Source organism: Homo sapiens, chromosome 1, assembly GCF_000001405.40.
Source record: "Homo sapiens chromosome 1, GRCh38.p14 Primary Assembly".
NCBI classification, from domain to species: domain Eukaryota; kingdom Metazoa; phylum Chordata; class Mammalia; order Primates; family Hominidae; genus Homo; species Homo sapiens.
The window spans coordinates 218,393,297-218,411,945 of NC_000001.11; the positions used below are offsets into that span (position 1 = coordinate 218,393,297).

The following is an 18,649-nucleotide window of genomic DNA, read 5'->3' on the forward strand; positions in this document are numbered from 1 at the left end:
AAGTCCTATTTTGCCAATGCTTGGTGTCATCCTGCAAAGATTTTACCCTTCAGTTTCTTAATCTGTAAAAGAGATCAAAATAAAATGTGCTTCTAATCTATTAAAAGGTTAAGGATGAGATCCTAAATTTCCAAGTTTAATTCATTAAAGGAATCAACACAGGCCGGCTTCCTTCTACTGATCTTGTTTGAAGCCTTTACTGCATTCTAGAATGGTATATGGTTATCTGTGTCATGGGCTCACTGGCCTCATTAAAAGCCATGAAAGAACCAAAAAGATGACTATTTTGCTCCCTGGATATCACAGCAAACAAAAGCACAGATTGAAGGGAAGTGAGAAAAAGAGGAGAGAAAGAAAATGGAGCAAAGGAAGTAGAAAAGATAGGAAGGGAGAGAGAAAAAGAAAAAAATAAAGTTATCTGCTTTAAGGGATGAGATTATGGCAGAGAAGAGCTGCTTCAGTGGCCTGTTCCAGCTGTGAGGACCACCTGCCCCGATGAGGCCATTGGGAAGGGACATATCACATTCACGGTTTACCTGCCCACAAACGTGGGTGCAGCCATACTCTTCATGCTCATGGGCTCTGAGACTCCTCTACGTTAGGCATCGGCCTCTTTTTTTTTTTTTTTTAGACAGAGCCTTGCTCTGTCGCCCAGGCTGGAGTCCAGTGGCGCAATCTCGGCTCACTGCAAGCTCCACCTCCCGGGTTAACGCCATTCTCCTGCCTCAGCCTCCCGAGTAGCTGGGATTACAGGTGCCCACCACCATGCCTGGCTAATTTTTTTTTGTATTTTTAGTAGAGACGGGGTTTCACTGCGTTAGCCAGGATGGTCTCGATCTCCTGACCTCGTGATCCGCCCGCCTCGGCCTCCCAAAGTGCTTGGATTATAGGCGTAAGCCACCGCACCCGGCCGGCATTGGCCTCTTAACATCAACAGTTGGCCTGCCCTTTCAGCACCCAATGCTTTTACTGCTAACACCCAGTACACCCTACACAAACTGCCTGCACAACCCTGAGCCTGATGAGGAATGTAGAGGAACTGAAGTGAAATAGGTGTCTCCGTGTAGGTGGGGTTTTATGAGGATGATGGAAACTTTGGAATAGAAACTGGAAACCCCATGTCTGACACAGTTCAAGAAAACTAAACACCATGGGCCGGCACCACTGTTATTTTACTTTTTTTTTGCGCAGTGTAAGAAGGAGCCCAAACACTCATGCTGACAGTACGCACAGTCTCAAATAGCAGTTAGATGAAGGCCAAGTCACGTAAGCTGATGCCGACACAATTAGACTCACCATTGCCAACAGCTCGTCAAGTCTGATATCATCCCCCTCTCGGAGACTCTGTCTTTACATAGCAGATGCTCTGGTGCTGTGTTACATGTAATAGGTGGGATGGCCGGAGAGAAAATCAGAAACCACCGCTGATGCGCTGTTTATTTCTTAGTCATTTTATGTTAAATTGCTGTGACTTGAACGTCAGCAGTGTTTGGGATGTGGTAGTGAAATAAAATCCATATCCAGTGTGCCAAGACAAATTTCAGAAAACCCCAAAACACAATTGTCTTGGTTTCTTGCTGGCTGTGTCTGTGCACACACAAATAGTAGCTAGTTTATTGCCCTCCAACCACTCGGTGGGTTGCTTGTCTTGCCACACTCTGGGGAATGGCTAATGAACCCCAAACTACTTCCTTCAAAGCTGGGGATGTCAGGAATGAGGGGCCACTACACATTCATTAAGCATGTCAGAAGTCCACACCAGTCACTGCTGAGCTGCAGGAAAAGTGCAGTCATTTCTGGAAAGGGAAATGAGGGGGTTTGTTCTCTTCATTCTGTGGGCTTGTGAATAAGAGCCAGGGGATACCACTGAGAACAGCAGCACTAGGCACCAATGTATGGGGATCTGAAAGACCCTGGGCAATACTGGTATTAGTAAAGTGCTTCTCACTGGGAAACTTTCACACTGGGTGAGCCCCCAGGTCTCCACATCAGGTGCGTTCTCTTAGGGAGTATCCGTGAAAATACTATGGCCTTGCATTAAAGTTTTTCAAGCTTTACTTCAAGGTCAAACTTATCTCTAGTGGAGGAGGAGCTGCTGCCTTGTTATTTTATTTGTATTTTGTTGCCACCACGCTCCATTGCATGTGTTGGTGTTTCTGCCTGGCGTGGTAGTCATACCTTCAACTCAGGACTCCTTTGCACAGAAGGCAGGATATTATACTGAAAAGCTTTGGATTCAAAGGCTAGCCTCACTTCGACTTTAGCCCAAAGTTATTTTACTTTCCTCACTCTTGATTTATTTTCTTTTCTTTTTCTTTTTTTTTTTTTTTGTTGAGATGGAGTCTCGCTCTGTCGCCCAGGCTGGAGTGCAGTGGCGCAATCTCGGCTCACTGCAAGCTCTGCCTCCTGGGTTCACACCATTCTCCTGCCTCAGCCTCCAGAGTAGCTGGGACTACAGGCGTCTGCCACCACACCTGGCTAATTTTGTTTTGTATTTTTAGTAGAGACGGGATTTCACCATGTTAGCCAGGATGGTCTCGATCTCCTGACCTCGTGATCCACCCACCTCGGCCTCCCAAAGTGCTGGGATTACAGGTGTGAGCCACCGCGCCAGGCCTTGATTTCTTTATCTGTGAAATGGGGATTAAAAAATGGCCTTTGCAGTGATGAAGTTAGTAAAGGTATTATAAAATGAGAAGGGGACATAAAATAGAATTCTGAGCCTGCAGTGAAATCAGGTCATTCTTTTTGGAGTAGGAAAGGTAGGATGGACATTTTTCATTCCTCTCTAGCTAGTTCATGACGCTGAGTAACCAGAAGGGAAGCCTGGTCAAGTGCATTGTGGTTAGACCATCATAGTCTAGGGCAGAAGTTCTCAAACTTGAGTGTAAAAAAGAATTGCCTACTATTCACCCAGTAGATCTAATATGGAACCAAGTAACAAGCATATTAATAAGCCTATCAGGTGATTTTGATGCAGGGGGTGAGTAAACAAATATCTAACTAACATAGTGGAATTTAGGGAAGAAAAACAATTTTTGGAGGCTCCATCGGTGGAGAGCATGATGTAATGGCAGAACTGGAAGTGGGCTGCCAGGCCATCTAGCTCACCCTGCCACCATATTCAGGAAGCCCCACTGCATCTTTTGGGACAGACTGCGCCTTGTGAGTACACAGGTTCTTCCAGGGAGGCCAGTGAGGTGTGATCTCTCACAACCTTGAAAGAGAGTGAGTTGTTTGGTTTCTTTTTTTTTTTTAATCTTCTAAATTTTTAGAAAATTATTTTTATATTGAGTCAAACTGTGGCTCCTTGGCTATATAGAAAGTAAGTCCCTGAAATCTTTGAAATCCCTTGAGATTTGATATCCCTAAGTCTTCCCTTCTTCAGTCTGAGTACTACCAGTTTCTTTCAGTGAGGGGTGCTGATCCTGGCTGTACATTTAAAATCATCTGAGGAACTTAAAACTAAGTCCACCCCAGTCAATTAACTAGACTTTTAGGGACTTCAACCCAGGCATCAAGATTTTCAAGTTCCTCCGTTGATTAAAATGTGCAGTCAAGGCAGACTACTACTGCAAATCATAGAGGAATCCTATTTTTCCAGTTTAAGAGCTTTAGAACTCTTCCTCTTTTCTCTGTCTTACTCTTTTTTTCTAGGTATAAAGCCTGATCCAAAGTTTAGGTGCTTGAGCCAGGTGCAGTGGCTCACGCCTGTAATCCCAGCACTTTGGGAGGCGGAGGCAGTGGATCACCTGAGGTCAGGAGTTTGAGACCAGCCTGGCCAACATGGTGAAATCCCGTCTCTACTAAAAATACAAAAAATTAGCCAGGCGTGGTGGCAGGCGCCTGTAATCCCAGCTACTCAGGAGGCTGAGACAGGTGAGTTGCGTGAACCCAAGAGGCGGAGGTTGCAGTGAGCTGAGATTGCGCCATTACACTCCAGCCTGGGCCACAGAGCAAGACTCCATCTAAAAAAAAAAAAAAAGGCCGGGCGCGGTGGCTTATGCCTGTAATCCCAGCACTTTGGGAGGCTAAGGCAGGCGGATCACGAGGTCAAGAGATTGAGACCATCCTGGCTAACACGGTGAAACCCCGTCTCTACTAAAAAATACAAAAAATTAGCCGGGCATGGTGGTGGGTGCCTGTAGTCCCAGCTACTCGGGAGGCTGAGGCAGGAGAATGGCGTGAACCCGGGAGGCTGAGCTTGCAGTGAGCCGAGATCGCGCCACTGCACTCCAACCTGTGCAACAGAGCGAGACTCCGTCTCAAAAAAAAAAAAAAAAAAAGTTTAGGTGCTCCTTTGTCTTTCTGTATTTCTTTGTAGATTTCTTTTCTTCTGTCGTATATTTCAGCAGTTCTGAAATGTTAGGGTACATAGGAATTGCTCAAGGAGTTTGCTAAAATGCAGACCACCATCCATACTCTTTAAGAAAGACTGTTATATAGGATCCATATATCCACTGCAATGAGCAGGAACCTGTGCTGCTTTGTAAGCCTCGTTTAGCTTTGCCTCTAGGAGGGGGACTAGCTTGGACTTGATGTTGAGGTAATCGGTGAGTACCTCAGGCAGGAGGATAAACAAAACCTCCAGGCCACTACCAATTCCGTTCATACCCACACCTTCTGTGTTTCACTTTGAACTACTGACCTTTCTGGCTTATCTTGGAAAATCCCCCACGAGGACACTGAGACCAGTGCTTGTCTGTCCTTGACAATTGTGGTCAGTGCTGACTCCAAGAAAGCTGATATTAAACACTAAAGCCTCCTTCTTCTTTTCCCCGGACTTTATCAATCTGCTTTTAATTGTTAACTAGGACTGGTTTCACCAGCTAGGAGTCAACCAGTATGTAGTCACACATTGGTTCTCAAACTTTGATGAAATGGTGCCATCAGACTTTCCTGGATGATTCACATTTATCACGGATTCCTAGGCAAGGCTGATGCCGTGGGCTGGGAGCCTCACTTTAAGAACCACTGCTTTAGCAAATACAGCAAATACCTATAGGTTCTTGACCCAAGCATTTCAACATTCACGCACTTTCTTCCTGCCAGTTTTGTGGTGTAACCAATCTAAGAGGGAATAAACAATAGATAGATGGCTGAAGCATTGCCCTCCTGAAGGGCTGAACCCTAGACATCATTGGGGGACTTCTTGCAAGCCTCAAATCTACATTCTGTTTCAGAGCTCATCACATATGAGTGACATTGTAAGACCTTTATTCAGTTTTGTTTTTTTATTAACCTTTAACTTTATTTTGAAATTATTTTATTTTATTTTATTTTATTTATTTATTTTTTATTTTATTTTTTGAGTTGGAGTCTTTCTCCGTCACCAGGCTGGAGTGCAGTGGTGCAATCTCGGCTCGCTGCAACCTCTGCCTCCCGGGTTCAAGCGATTCTCCTATCTCAGCCTCCCGAGTAGCTGGGGCTATAGACGCCTGCCACCACGCCCAGCTAATTTTTGTATTTTTAGTAGAGACGGGGTTTCACCATGTGGCCAGGATGGTCTTGATCTCTTGACCTCGCGATCTGCCTGCCTCAGCCTCCCACAGTGGTGGGATTACAGGCGTGAGCCACTGTGCCTGGATTATTTTAATTTTTTTTAGAGACAGGTCTCACTCTGTTGCCCAGGCTTCAGTGCAGTGACTCAGTCATGGCTCACTGTAGTCTCACCCTCTCAGGCTCAAGTGATCCTCCCACCTCAGCCTCCCAAGTAGGTGGGAGTTACAGGCACATGCCACATCACCCAGCTAATTTTTTATTTTTTAATAGAAATGGGGTCTTGTCTTGCTTTGTTGCCCAGGCTGGTCTCAAACTCCTAGCCTTAACCAATCCTCCCACTTTGGCCTCCCAGAGTGCTGGGATTTTAGGCATGAGCCACTGTGCCAGGCCTGAAACAATTTTAGACTCACAAGAAATTGCAAAAATAGTACAGAGAGTTCCTATATACCCTTCAACAGCTTCTCCTAATGATGATCACAACTGTAGTACGTTTTCAAAGGGGATGGATAACCCATTTACCATGATGTGATTATTAGGCATTGCATGCCTGTATCGAAGTATTTCATGTATCACATGAATATATACACCCTTACTAGGTAGCCACAAAAATTAAAAATTAAAAAAAATTAGTACATATAAAAACCGAAGAAATCCAAGCCTAGTTAATAGTATTGTACCAATGTCAATTAAACTTTTTAATAAAAATAGTCCTAATATGAACATTGTAGTGAAAGGTGAAATTGCTTGATGCAGAGCTGTTTAGTGGAAAGTTAGGATTTCTCTTGTCACCTTTTCTGATGGTCAGGTTTATAGTAAAACAGGTGAAATGTTAAAGGATAGTGGTGGGGAGTCTGTGAGAACTTTGGGGACTGGAATTGCTCCCTACTCAGTGGAAAGGAATTAGAGTATATAGCGTCATGTATAAACTGCCCCAGGACACTTAGCTCCTCCTGTTCTTTCTCTCCTCTTCTAATTTGGTCTGTCAGGCTATCAGAGCACTGTCTCTCGGGGGCATTCATGAAAGGCCCACTGACCACCTGGCAGTTCTGTTACGGTATGGGAAGGGAGGCAGGGAGGAAACTGTGTGGAAATTTGTGCTAGACCCAGCGCTCCAACTTTCCATCTGCTTACTTATAGAATCCTGACAATATGACCCAATACATATGAGGTAGAAAATTATTTACTTCATTATATAGATGAAGAAACAGGCTCAGAAAAGCCAGATAATATCCCTGTTGCCACAAAACTAGGAACTGGTTGATTCAGTTCAACCAGTTCATTCTTAACTGGATTAGAATTCAGATAGCCTTGAAGGTCCTTTAGTACTTAAGAATCCTATAACTATATGAGGCTTCGGCAGGGCTAGCTACAAAATTTGCAGAATCCTTTTTCAATATGAAAATATGGGGTCTCTTGTTCAAAAAAAAAAAGAAAAGGAGTACTATTGAAGATGCTAAAATATAAAACTTTTTCCTTTGTTCCATGGTCTCCCTCTCTCTGTCTCTCTCGCTCTCCAACTGTCACGGTGTTTTTTTATGTGCTGTTTGATATTGTGCTCACTTGGGCATGGGGATGCTCCCAGAGTGACAGGAGACTTTCATGGGGACCTGAGACCCTTGCCCTAAAACTTGGAACATGTAGTCCAGCAGCTGCTGGGGTCCCCCTGCCACAAGCCCACAAGATTGATAACACATTGAGCCAGGTATCTCCCTTCCCATGGGACTGCCACTTCAACCCATAGGGTTGCAAACTCTGCACTGGGATGTGCTTGGTACCTGGATTAAGAGGGTGCATGAAAATCTCAGAAATCACCCATTAAAGAACTCATTCATGTCACCAAAAAGCACCTGTACCCCAAAAAGTATTGAAAACATTTTAAAAAAAGGAGTGGGTGAGAGACGTGCTTCTACTGGGTTGCTCCCTGAACATATTGTGGCACTGCCAGCTTGTGGTGGGGACAGCTGCCACCAGGCTTTTTCCTGAAATGGCATGGGTTGTGTGCCTGACCCCAACTGTCATTGGGTGGAGGAAAACAGTGGCCACTGGGCGGGCCAGGGAAGGCAGGGTGAGATTGGGGACACCAGAAGGCAAGGGGTAGGAGGCAGAGAGTCCTGGGCAAGTGGACAGGTGACAGGAGGTGGGATGGCACAGGGCTGAGGTCCCCAGCCCTCTGTGCATGCTCCATTGTCCCATAAGACCTCGCTTACAAAGCATCAATTCAAAAATAAAATGATTGAGAATTTCAAGATGGTGACTAGAGAGGCCACAGAGCACTAAATTCAGGTATGAGACCTTTCTGAGGATGGAGACCCTGTGCCCCTGTGCTGGCCACACGCTCATGAAGTGGAGAAAAACTATAAGGAAAGATTTGTGAGTTCAAAATACTTACATACAATACGTTGGTAAATTTTTTGGAGCAGATACAAGTCAACATATAATGTTCATACAGTAGTATGTGATTAAGTGCTGTATTTAAGCTTTTTGTATACTGTTACTTTGGAAATTAGTGACTAGTTAGATTTTCTCAGGTTTTTTTTCTCTCCCTTCCGTCCCCAAAATATGGTTTTGCAGGCATGTGTGGCCAAGGTTGAGGTGAGGGGGACACCACTTGATGACATACTGGAATCTTCTATGTGCAAAATTTTCCCCGGGAGGAAGGCCCATGAGAAAGCCTGGGAGGAGGACCAGAATCAGCCTCCTGGTGTGAAATCCAAAGGGTTGAAGGAAAATCGATTTGATTGAACTGAAAAAGTAGGTCAGAAATTGAGAGAAGGAGCGGGCCAGGATGTGAGTGTGGATAAGTTGGCAAAGGTCAAACACAAGTACCTGACCACCTGGCAATGGAATAGGAACTGGGATGCGCATTACAGAGGACTTTAGCGAGAACTCCCATTCCAAAGGGGGAAATGAGTTCTTGGAGGAAGCAGAGGAAAAAGCTCCATCCCTCCAAGACTAAGCGGGTGGATCAGAGCTGCACAAGCCATTAAGCCCCTACCCCGGGCTCCCTCAGTGGAGGGCGGGAGCCTGCCGCGTCCCGACTGGGCATCAAGGGGCCTTTTTGGGTCTCCCTGCTCCGTGTATAGGGTGTTTATGAAGTAAAGGCAGGGTCAAAGACTGTGCTAGAGCAATTGACAGTAATTTTGTTGTTTCCAAATGAGGAGACATTTGGCCAGTTGCTCATGTTCCTCAGCCAGCCAGGGGGCTTGTGACCCAGAGCAGATGACAGCACAGGACAGCTGGCATCAACCCCTGGAAGGGGTAGTTGGTTCTTCAGTTGACAGTTTTTACCACACTCTCGTATGCTGGAGCAGGAGTACAGGCAGGGAAGGCTACCGGCTCCTCCCGGCCTGGTCGCTTCACCATGGTTACAACACCAAAGCAGTGGCTGATGGGGGCTGCTCAGCAGTCCTTTCACTGTGTGTGTTAGCTACTTCTACTTATAAAACAAGGACCAAAAATGCAGATTTGTGTTATTAGACAGTTGAAATATAAACAGCCTAAATGCTTATAAGAGCCAGAGGGGAGGAGGGCTGTTTGCCAATGTATAGGAAGCCCAGCTGAACAACTGTACTTAACTAGCAAGCTACTCCTGTAAATATTTGCAAACTCCCCTTCAAAGCTCAAAAGCCTAGGACAGGATCATTGGATGATTTGCTTAGAAGAAGAAGAAACAAAATTGACCTCATGGTCTGAGGCAGCCATAAAAAGAAAAGAGTGTGGATGGGCAGAGGACCAGAAAAGGGGGGAAAAAAATGGTCCAAAGTTTAATAAACACAAAAGAGATAAAAATAAATCTCAAGAGCACTTATTTACAAACTTGATGGAAGGATAAGATTGAGGCAGGCGTGTGTGAAAGATGGGTGTTTGTGAAAGTGGAAGAGGCCTGCAGGGATTCCACTGAAAGAGGCGGGGAAAATTGAATGAGATGTTTACTCTTCCTAACGACAGGAAACACGCTAAATTAGCTTCTCTATTCCAGGATGCTCCTTCAAAGGATGTTTGAAGCTTCTGCTGTCTAATGCGGAGGCTCTGCGAAGATGAATGCAGCATCAGCCTGTGGAAGGTTTTGGCCAAGACGGTGTGCAATGCCAGAAAGCCTGGCCCCAGACTGGCCTAGGCTTCTCTGGTTGTCTGGCCTGTTTTCAGCTGAGCTGGTCGGCATAGGACCAGCTGTTCCAATCATGGGGGCGGGCATATTCCAGAGGAGAAAAAGTTCTATTTGTTCTCAGCAGCTACCTTGTCAAAATGCTGTGTGCTAGGGGGCTCCAAAAGCCTTTCTGCGTGCACCAGTGCCCCCTGGCCTGGAAGCCGCCCATCAACTAATTCGCAGTGGTGATGCGGCGGATCATCACCATGTCTGCATGAATACTTTTTTTCTTTGAAACCTGGATACTTTGGATTTTTTGGGGTTTTTTTGTTTGTTTGTTTGTTTCTGAGACTTCTGACTCCTGGGTTATAAAGCCTCAATTCACACAGTCATTTTCTGAACCAGTATGGAGGAGACTGGTGTAGAAATTCCCCGCTTCTCCGTGGGCCTGTGTGCTGAGAGTCACACATATATAGGGGAAGGAGATGGGTTGGGAGAAAGTTCCTATGAAGGAAAAAATTCAGGCTCTTAAGATGAGAAAATGTTGGTGTGTTCCTAGCATCTTTTTTTCTTCAGTGTAATCGTCAGGGCATGGATTTCCCAATAAATCACGGAAGGTATTTATTTCTATTTTAAGATCGGCAAGATGGCTCATTTATTTAATAAGAAGTTAGTGTTGCCAACAGTCAGATGCCTGAGTCTTTCAAGAGACTCCTGTTGATGACCAACTATGCAAACGGGATATTTGGTGAACCCTGTCCAGATACGTGGGAAAGAAGAAAGACCTGGCAAATACAGTCTCTGCCCTCAAGATTCTTAAAATTTCACAGGGGAAACAAAATAAACAAACATAATGCAGAAGTAATAAAAACATTTATAAAGAAACATGAACAACCGTGAATGATTATTTGTAATGAAGTCAGATAATTGAAGAGTGGGTAGAAAGAAATGGAGCCACTAGAGTTGGATGAAACACTCTGGAAAGGGGAAAGAAAGTGTGTAGGAGATTTTGGAAGAAGATTGTAGAAACATACCTGTAACAAGTGGTCTGCACAGTGTAGATGCTTGATAAATGAATATTGTATTTGAAAGCATGGAGTTAGAATAGGACCTGCTCTGGTCTTTGTATAGCCTCAGTTGCATATTCAAAGACATTGGCAGATTACAAAAAAAAAAAAAAAAAAAAGCCAGCACAACTCTAAAGCAACCCAGGAGCTTGATTGATTGATTGACTGATTGATATTTGAGATGGAACCTCACCCTATTGCCCAGGCTAGAGTATAGTGTTGTGATTTCAGCTCACTGCAGCCTCCGCCCCCGGGGTTCAAGCAATTCTCCTGCCTCAGTCTCCGGAGTAGATGGGATTACAGGTGCGCGCCACCACGCCTGGCTAATTTTTGTATTTTTAGTAGAAACAGGGTTTTGCCATGTTGGCCAGGGCTGGTCTCAAACTCCTGACCTTAAGTGGTCTGCCCACCTCAGCCTCCCAAAGTGTTGTTGGAATTACAGGCGTGACCCACTGTGCCCGTCCTTCCCAGAAGCTTTAAAATGTCATGTACCATCAGCAACTCTGTATTTTACATGGTTTAGAACTGAAGGAATTTGTGCCAATTCTTTTTCTTCATTAGCTAGGATGACCTCCCGCCAACAGACATTATCCTGCATAAAGAATTTTAAAACTGGATCTGGTATAAGCTAGTACGTGGGTTATACTTTTGTTTATTCAAATTTCCTCATCATAACTTGACTAGAGAATATGTTAAGTCATATGTGTGTGAAAAACTAAAATATTGAAGCCAAAAGAGATTCGATATATGAGCCTGGTTAAAAAAAGATTATTTGGATGACAAACTTTCAAGGAAAAAAAATACATGGGCAAACTGCTGGCCATTAGGAACTATTTTCTTGGCACATCTGATTAAAGTGTATGCAGGCCTGACAGCTCTCTCCAGGCATGAACTGTCATAAACTTGTTCCAATTCAAAACCATCTATGATTTCCACCAGTCTGTCAGCCTTCAAAGGATGGGGTTAACTGCATGCTTTCAAATGGAGTTGGAAGTGGTTTGTTAATCTCTATTAATTTGCTACTCCTGTAACTAAATGCACATGTTTATTTTATTTCTTTTTTTTCTGGTTACATTGTTAATGGTATTAAACTGGCCGTTGGAAACTATTCTGTAGATATTTCCCTTATGGTTTCTTGGGATTATCTCACGCTACAGTCTTCTCTGAAAGCACAATGGATTTTATCATTTTCAATGATTGCCCTAATTTTTTACAGATGCCATCCCGCCCACTTTCTACAGACCCTACTTCAGAATTGTTCGATTTGACGTCTCAGCAATGGAGAAGAATGCTTCCAATTTGGTGAAAGCAGAGTTCAGAGTCTTTCGTTTGCAGAACCCAAAAGCCAGAGTGCCTGAACAACGGATTGAGCTATATCAGGTAATGTTCATTTGTTGTTGTTGTTGTTGTTGTTGTTGTTGTTTTAGACAGACTCTCTCTCTCTCTCTCTGTCACAGGCTAGAGTACAGTGGCATGATCACAGCTCACTGCAACCTTGAACTCCTGGGTTCAAACGATCCGCTTGCCTCAGCCTCCCTAGTCAATGGGACTGCAGGAGTGCACCATCACACCCGATTATCTTTTTAAAAAACTTTTTTTAGATACGAGGTCTCACCGTGTTGCCCTGGCTGATCTGGAACTCCTGGCCTTAAGCAATCTTCCCACCTTGGCCTCAAAAAGTTTGGGGATTACAGACATGAGCCACCATACCTGGCTCATTTAGGTTGTTGTAATGGGCAATCAGTTTGAGGTCTTAGAGTAAAAGAATTCTAGTGTCTTAGATTTTCTTAGCTGATATAAGCCATGCTATATATTCACAATCGTGATATAGGCCCTCATTTACTATTACTGTTCTAGTAATAGCTTGTTCCTAATCACTCAGGAGGGAAGAACCCTTTAGAATGCAGTATTGAAGCTCTGAGCACACTTCCTCAGTTGCATGAACAGCTGGAGTATGTACTCTTCAGAGGGTTTGGTTCCAGAAGTCAACCCGTTAAACTATAAAGTCAGATAATGTAGGTCCGATTTCTTCCTGGGGAACAGTCAGTTGACCTTCCTTTATTCATCCTATAGCTGTTTCTTTCTCCTTTTCTATGATTTTCTCTTTGTTTTCTTATTGTCTTCTCTCTTCCTTTTTCACTTTTTTCTCCTCTCTTTGCAACCTCCTTCTCTTTATTAACTTTATCCCGTTTCCTTTTCCTTTCTAATTCTACCCACTGTCTCCAGTCTACCCACTCAATACACACACACACACACACACACACTTTCCTCCATTATTTGGACAGCCCTGATGTCTCCTGTTCTCATCTTTGTAGTGGAGTTGGAGTTGGTGGGCAGCTGCGTCAAAATGTAATGATGATGATGATGAAATGCCAACTTGCTGAGATTTTCAGAGATGTTCTTAAAAGCTTGTTACCCGAGTGTAGTCTACAGGGCATTTGCATCGGCATCACCTGGGGCTGTGAGAAATGTAGAATCTCAGGCCCCACCCTAGACTTTACAGAATCAGAATCCCCATTTTAACAAGATCCGCAGGTGCTTCTTGTGCACATTAAAGAACCACTTGAAAAATCCTGAGTCTGGTGCAGCCTTGTAAACAGGCAACTTAAATACATCCTGATGCCATATGAATAGTGGTACTTGCATATAGGGTATAGGCGGGGAAATTTCACCAGGGAGCTGACATTTTGATGAGGCCTTGAGACGTATCTATTAAAACCTGATGGGGGATCATCATTCTTGGCAGGAAGGGCAGGCACTGCAAAGACAGTCTTGAATGGGCTTGCTGAGGGTACCTGATGCATAGCGCTCAGTGCCTGGAGGTGAGGAGAGACTGGGGAGAAGGTGGCCCTCCAAAGATAGTGTGTAGAGTGACACTACAGAGGATTAAGAAAAAACCCCTTGGGATCCCCGTGATAAGGGGTATATATGTGTGACAATATGATTAAAACATGGGATTACTTGAGAAAAAGAAATTGGCATCTATGTGCAGAAACCGCTAGTTTTTCTGGACTCTAATCATTTGGAATTTGTGATAATTAGGATCAAAATTTTCTTTGTATTCATTATGAAAATAGAGAACTACCACACAAATGAATATGAGACCTGAAGAATAGTTTAAAATACTTAAAGCAGTCATTTTGTTTTCTTTTTCTGTTTTTTTGAGACAGCATCTTGCTCTGTCACCCAGGCTAGAATGCAGTGGTGCAGTCATAGCTCACTGCACCCTCAACTTCCAGGGCTCAAGCGATCCTACAGGTGTGCATCCCCACGCCTAACTCTAATGTATTTTTCTGTTTAATTTTTAGTACAGATGAGTTCTCGCTTTGTTGCCAAGGCTGGTCTCTTAATTCTTGAGCTCAAGAGATCATCCCACCTCTGCTTCCCAATGTGCTGGGATTACAGGCATGAGGCACTGTGCCTGGCCCCAGTTTTAAAGTACTAGTTCACATGTGTGTTCATGAAGAATAATTCTTACTTATTTAAATAGGCCCTCGAGAACCTGTTTTTGAGACTTTTAAATCCTAACTGGCATTCTGGGTAGCACCAATGGGCCAGCCGTTGCTCGTCGCCCCAAGGTCAGAGAGCATGCTTGTGTGACCAGACACTATGCTGAGCAAAGACTCAGAAGTATTGTTTCCAATGATACTCACAGCTATACTATGAAGTTTGTACAATGAAGTATTCTTTCTGCTATTATATTCTTTTCCATTTCACAGAGAATGGTGCTAAATCCCAGAGAAATTAAGTAACTTGGCCAGGGTCACACAGGTGGGAAATGGCAGGGCTGGGATACAAATCCACCTCGGACTCCCAAGTCCCTCCTGCCCCTCACCACATACTATGCTATTCCTAGCAAAATTTTCCCTTTCTCTTACCCTTGGGATCAGCCAGAATAGAAGAATAATAAGACAAACTAGGCTAGAGGATGAAGTAATATTTGGAGGGGAAGCAAAAACTGGTTCCTATGAAAAAAAGCCAGATTAAGGGTAGCCAGATAAATTACAAGATGATTTAAACAAACAAACAAAAAACATGATTATATCTCCTTTTTCTTCTCTTTTTTACCAATTAAATCACCCTTAAATTTCCTTCTTTGCTGACGATAGCATCATAGGTTGCTCTCTTTGGCCCTACTTTAGTTACATGGCTTCAGTAAATTGGAGGCAGGGTCACCTAGGTCCTGTTACCTGTAATGGAAGCTGCTAAGTCCCTATTTTTCTGTGGCCCCTTGACCCTGTCCTCTGAGGAGTAGCCTCTGCCAGCAGGCTTGCCAATGGCTTTTTTCCTCCCAGGGCCCATCCCATCTCCAGGAAAGGGTGTTTCTCTTGAGGCTGGCAACTTAGAGGACCTTAGTGAGTTCTTGGTAGATGTGCCTCAGAGGTTTCTGAAGCACCGGCTGCTCCATGACGCAAGTGACATGATGTGCATGGCTTAGAGTCCCACGCTTGAAAGAGGAACGGCCCAAGATGGAAGCTTTTAGTTTGGAGAAGCATGGGCACGTTCACTGTCACTATACACGGGCATCTGGAAGAAGAAGATTCTAGCAGAAAAATATAAAATAATAGCAATTTTTTTATCTTTCTGGGGCTCAGCTATACAACTCCTGAAGCACAGACAAGGTCCAGAGAGCAAGTCAAAGAGATCCTTGAACACCCGAAGAGAAGACAACTCACACACACTTTTGATGGATCAGAAAGGCAGCCTCTTGTCTTTTATTGCTTCAACTAGTTTGACTATCTGTAGGGCCAGAAGAAATTAGAAGCACTGAATTAAAAGAGGAGGGCTAGAGGAGGACACCGTGACATCAACAGCAGGTCCTTTAGACCAGCAGTCCCCAGCCTTTTTGGCACCAGGGACCAGTTTTGTGGAATACAATTTTTCCACAGAGCATTACTTTTATTGTGCACTTTATTTCATTGTAATATATAATGAAATAATTATACAACTCACCATAATATAGAATCAGTGGGAGCGCTGAGCTTGTTTTCCTGCAACTATATATGGTCCCATCTGGCAGTGATGGGAGACAGTGTCCGATCATCAGGCATTTGATTATCATAAGGAGCGTGCAACCTAGATCCCTAGCACGTGCAGTTCACAATAGGGTTCTTGCTCCTTTGAGAATCTAATGCCGCCGCTAATCTGACAGGAGGTGGAGCTCAGGCAGTACTGCAAGCAATGGGGAGTGGCTGTAAACACAGATGAAGCTTTGCTTGCTTGCCTGCTGCTCACCTCCTGCTGTGCGGCCCGGCTCCTGATGGGCCATGGACCTGTACCGTCCAGGTTGGGGACTTCTGCTTTAGACTAAAGATTTTTACCACTGTATCACAGTAACGCTATCTCAGATAATCAGACCACAGAAGCAATGCCTGTTGTGGACAAGTTTTCTGAATCTTACCCTGTTTATAGTTAACCCACTCTTTATCTCTTTGGCTTCCTGTCTGGCTTCTGACTTTTGCTTCTGGCCTCTTTATTTGGAGTCCTATTTTTAGTATGGTGTTCTCCAACTTTCCTTTTGTCTCCGGCTGCCATTTGGAGGTCTTTGTAGTCTTTGGTAATAAACTCCCATCTCTAGTCCTATTACAGGAATTGATGCCGATGGTAATAACCTTGAATTATGAAGATGAGGCTAAATTATAGTCAGGAAACTGAACACATGCAATAAATTTTACAGAGTTTCACATCCAAAATTGCTGAAATATTATTTTGGAAAAAAAAAACAGATTTGATGCTTAAATGGGCAGATCTTCAGCTATTTGGAAAGCTCAGCTCTTCAGAAGAACAAAACCTTTGAAGTTCTTGGATACCCTTTGATTACTGTACTACTTGACACACAATTGGCATCCTAATCCCTAGAGGAAAACAGGGTGACTATGAAAAGGTTCTCAGGTCGTTTACATGGTTGTTTGGATTATTTATTAGGACTCTTCAGGACACTGATGTTCAGTAGGAGGAGAGTATGTATGTGTGTACATGTGTGCACACGTGCCTGTGAACTTACATGTGAGCATAGGCACTCCACCAGGTTTGGAATCCCTGGGGGAGCTTTTACGAAGACTAACCACAGTTTCCTTCAAGGGGATTCTGATTTTCCCTGGAAAGGAAAATGAGAGTTGCCTCGGCACAGATGTTGGTTTCAAAGAGCTCTCCTGGTGACTCACATGTGTGATTGTTCAGATTTGGATCTTCCAATTGGAATTCGCAGATTTAAAATATAGCCCAAGAGTTTTGAGTCATTCTGTCTCATAAAAATGCCGCCAGGTATTCTTTTTAGAGTCACAATATGAGGCTGGATGGACGTAGGATAACAATTCTATACATGAGTTCAGGGTTTGTCTTGTCCAGAGCTGCGAAGGTCTATTGTTTCTCTCCACCTGGGATAGTTAGGAAACCCATGCTTCTGTTGAAGTCACTCTGAGCTTGTTTAAACCTGAAAGCTTGTGAACTTACGATTTTCATTACCCTCCCCTCTCTACAGAACAGTGTGTCAGAATATTAATGAATGATAGGAAAATAAAATCTTTCTTTCCTGCTTTCTCTAACCTCTTTCACGTTAACAAACTCTAAATAGCATCTACTGGTGTGATCAAGATAGGCTTCCCATGTATACCAATAATGGAGGGAATATGAGAGGGATAAAGTGTCTGAAAGATGAAGGGAAAGAGGAGAAAACAAAGATGAAAAACAACTGTTTTTAGATAGTAACGATCTTTGCCATATTTTTAAAGCTTTATGCCAAAGGCAGCCTTTATTGCGATATGTTCAGACAAAACTCCAGTGCTCTAGGAATGCATTCAAACCCATGATAGTTGTTATAGCTCTCAGCCCATTTGTAAATTTGAACACACCTTTCTTTGATTAAGTTTCCCCTGTATGTATGATTAAAATCATGACCAGAAGTATGAGGTAGAGGGAAAGAAAATAGGAAGGAGAATTCTCTTCAAGTTGAACATCTTCTATATGGGCAAGAACACCTGCTGTCTTGGAGTTGGATAAATCCCCATTTTACACATGAAGAAATGCTTGGGGAACTTAATGACATATCTAAGGGTACCCATAACTTCATGGCCCTAAACAATCCTTTGGGACCACCAAAGAATACTTATATTTAAATTTGCTAACCTCAGAGGACTTGGAGCTCTCCAGTATTTCTAGTTTCTTCTCACCAACTCACACCCTTTCAATAGTCATTTCTCATTTAAAACCTTACCACCTCCAGAATAGTATGATTCATACCACTGTCTGGGTTATCTATTTGCTGCACAACAAGCTTCAAAATGTTGTGGCCTCAAATAATAATCATTTTGTTATACTTCACAAGTTTTTGTGGGTCAGAAATTTCATCAGAGCTTGGCTGGATATTGTCTTGCTCCATGTGGCTTTGGCTGGGGTCACTTGGTAGCATTTAGATGACAGTTGGGCTGGTCTGGAGGATTGATGATGGCTTTGTGCCTATGCTTGGAACTTCAGTAGAATGACTGGAAGGCCGGGCTCAGCTGGGCTCCTCCCCCTAGATAGTCTCAGATGTCTCCATGTGGTGTTCCCAGAAGAGTAGTCTTGTTTCTTACATGGGGACTCAGGTGTGCAAATGTCTAAGGTAGAAACTGCAAGTCCTCTTAAAAACAGCCCAGAGGCTGGGCATGGTGGCTTACGCATGTAATCCCAGCACTTTGAGAGGCTGAGGCAGGTGGATCTCTTGAGCCCAGGAGTTCAAGCCTGGGCAACATGGTGAAATACCATCTCTACTAAAAATACAAAAATTACCCAGGCACAGTGGCACACACCTGTAATCCCAGCTACTCAGGAGGCTGAGGCAGGAGAATCGCTTGAACCCGGGAGGTGGAGGTTGCAGTGAGCAGAGATTGCACCACTGCACTCCAGCCTGGGCGACAGAGCCAAATTCAGTCTCAAAAAAAAAAAAAAAAAATAGCAGGCCCAGAAATGACACAGCATCACTTTTGCCTTACTCTATTAATCAAATGAACTACAG

The 18,649-nt window shown here is 43.8% G+C and overlaps 1 protein-coding gene across 4 annotated transcripts in view; it reads left to right on the top strand.

Annotated features, from left to right (window-relative positions):
• TGFB2 (transforming growth factor beta 2) overlaps positions 1 to 18,649 on the top strand; it is a 99,284-nt gene that overhangs the window by 47,961 nt on the left and 32,674 nt on the right. For all 4 annotated transcript variants that reach the window (NR_138149.2, NR_138148.2, NM_001135599.4 and 1 more), the window contains one exon: positions 11,873 to 12,036. Coding sequence is in view for 2 of the 4 variants with exons in the window: in NM_001135599.4 (NP_001129071.1) it covers positions 11,873 to 12,036 (164 nt within the window). In the remaining 2 variants the exon portion in view is untranslated. The remainder of the gene's footprint in view (positions 1 to 11,872; positions 12,037 to 18,649) is intronic.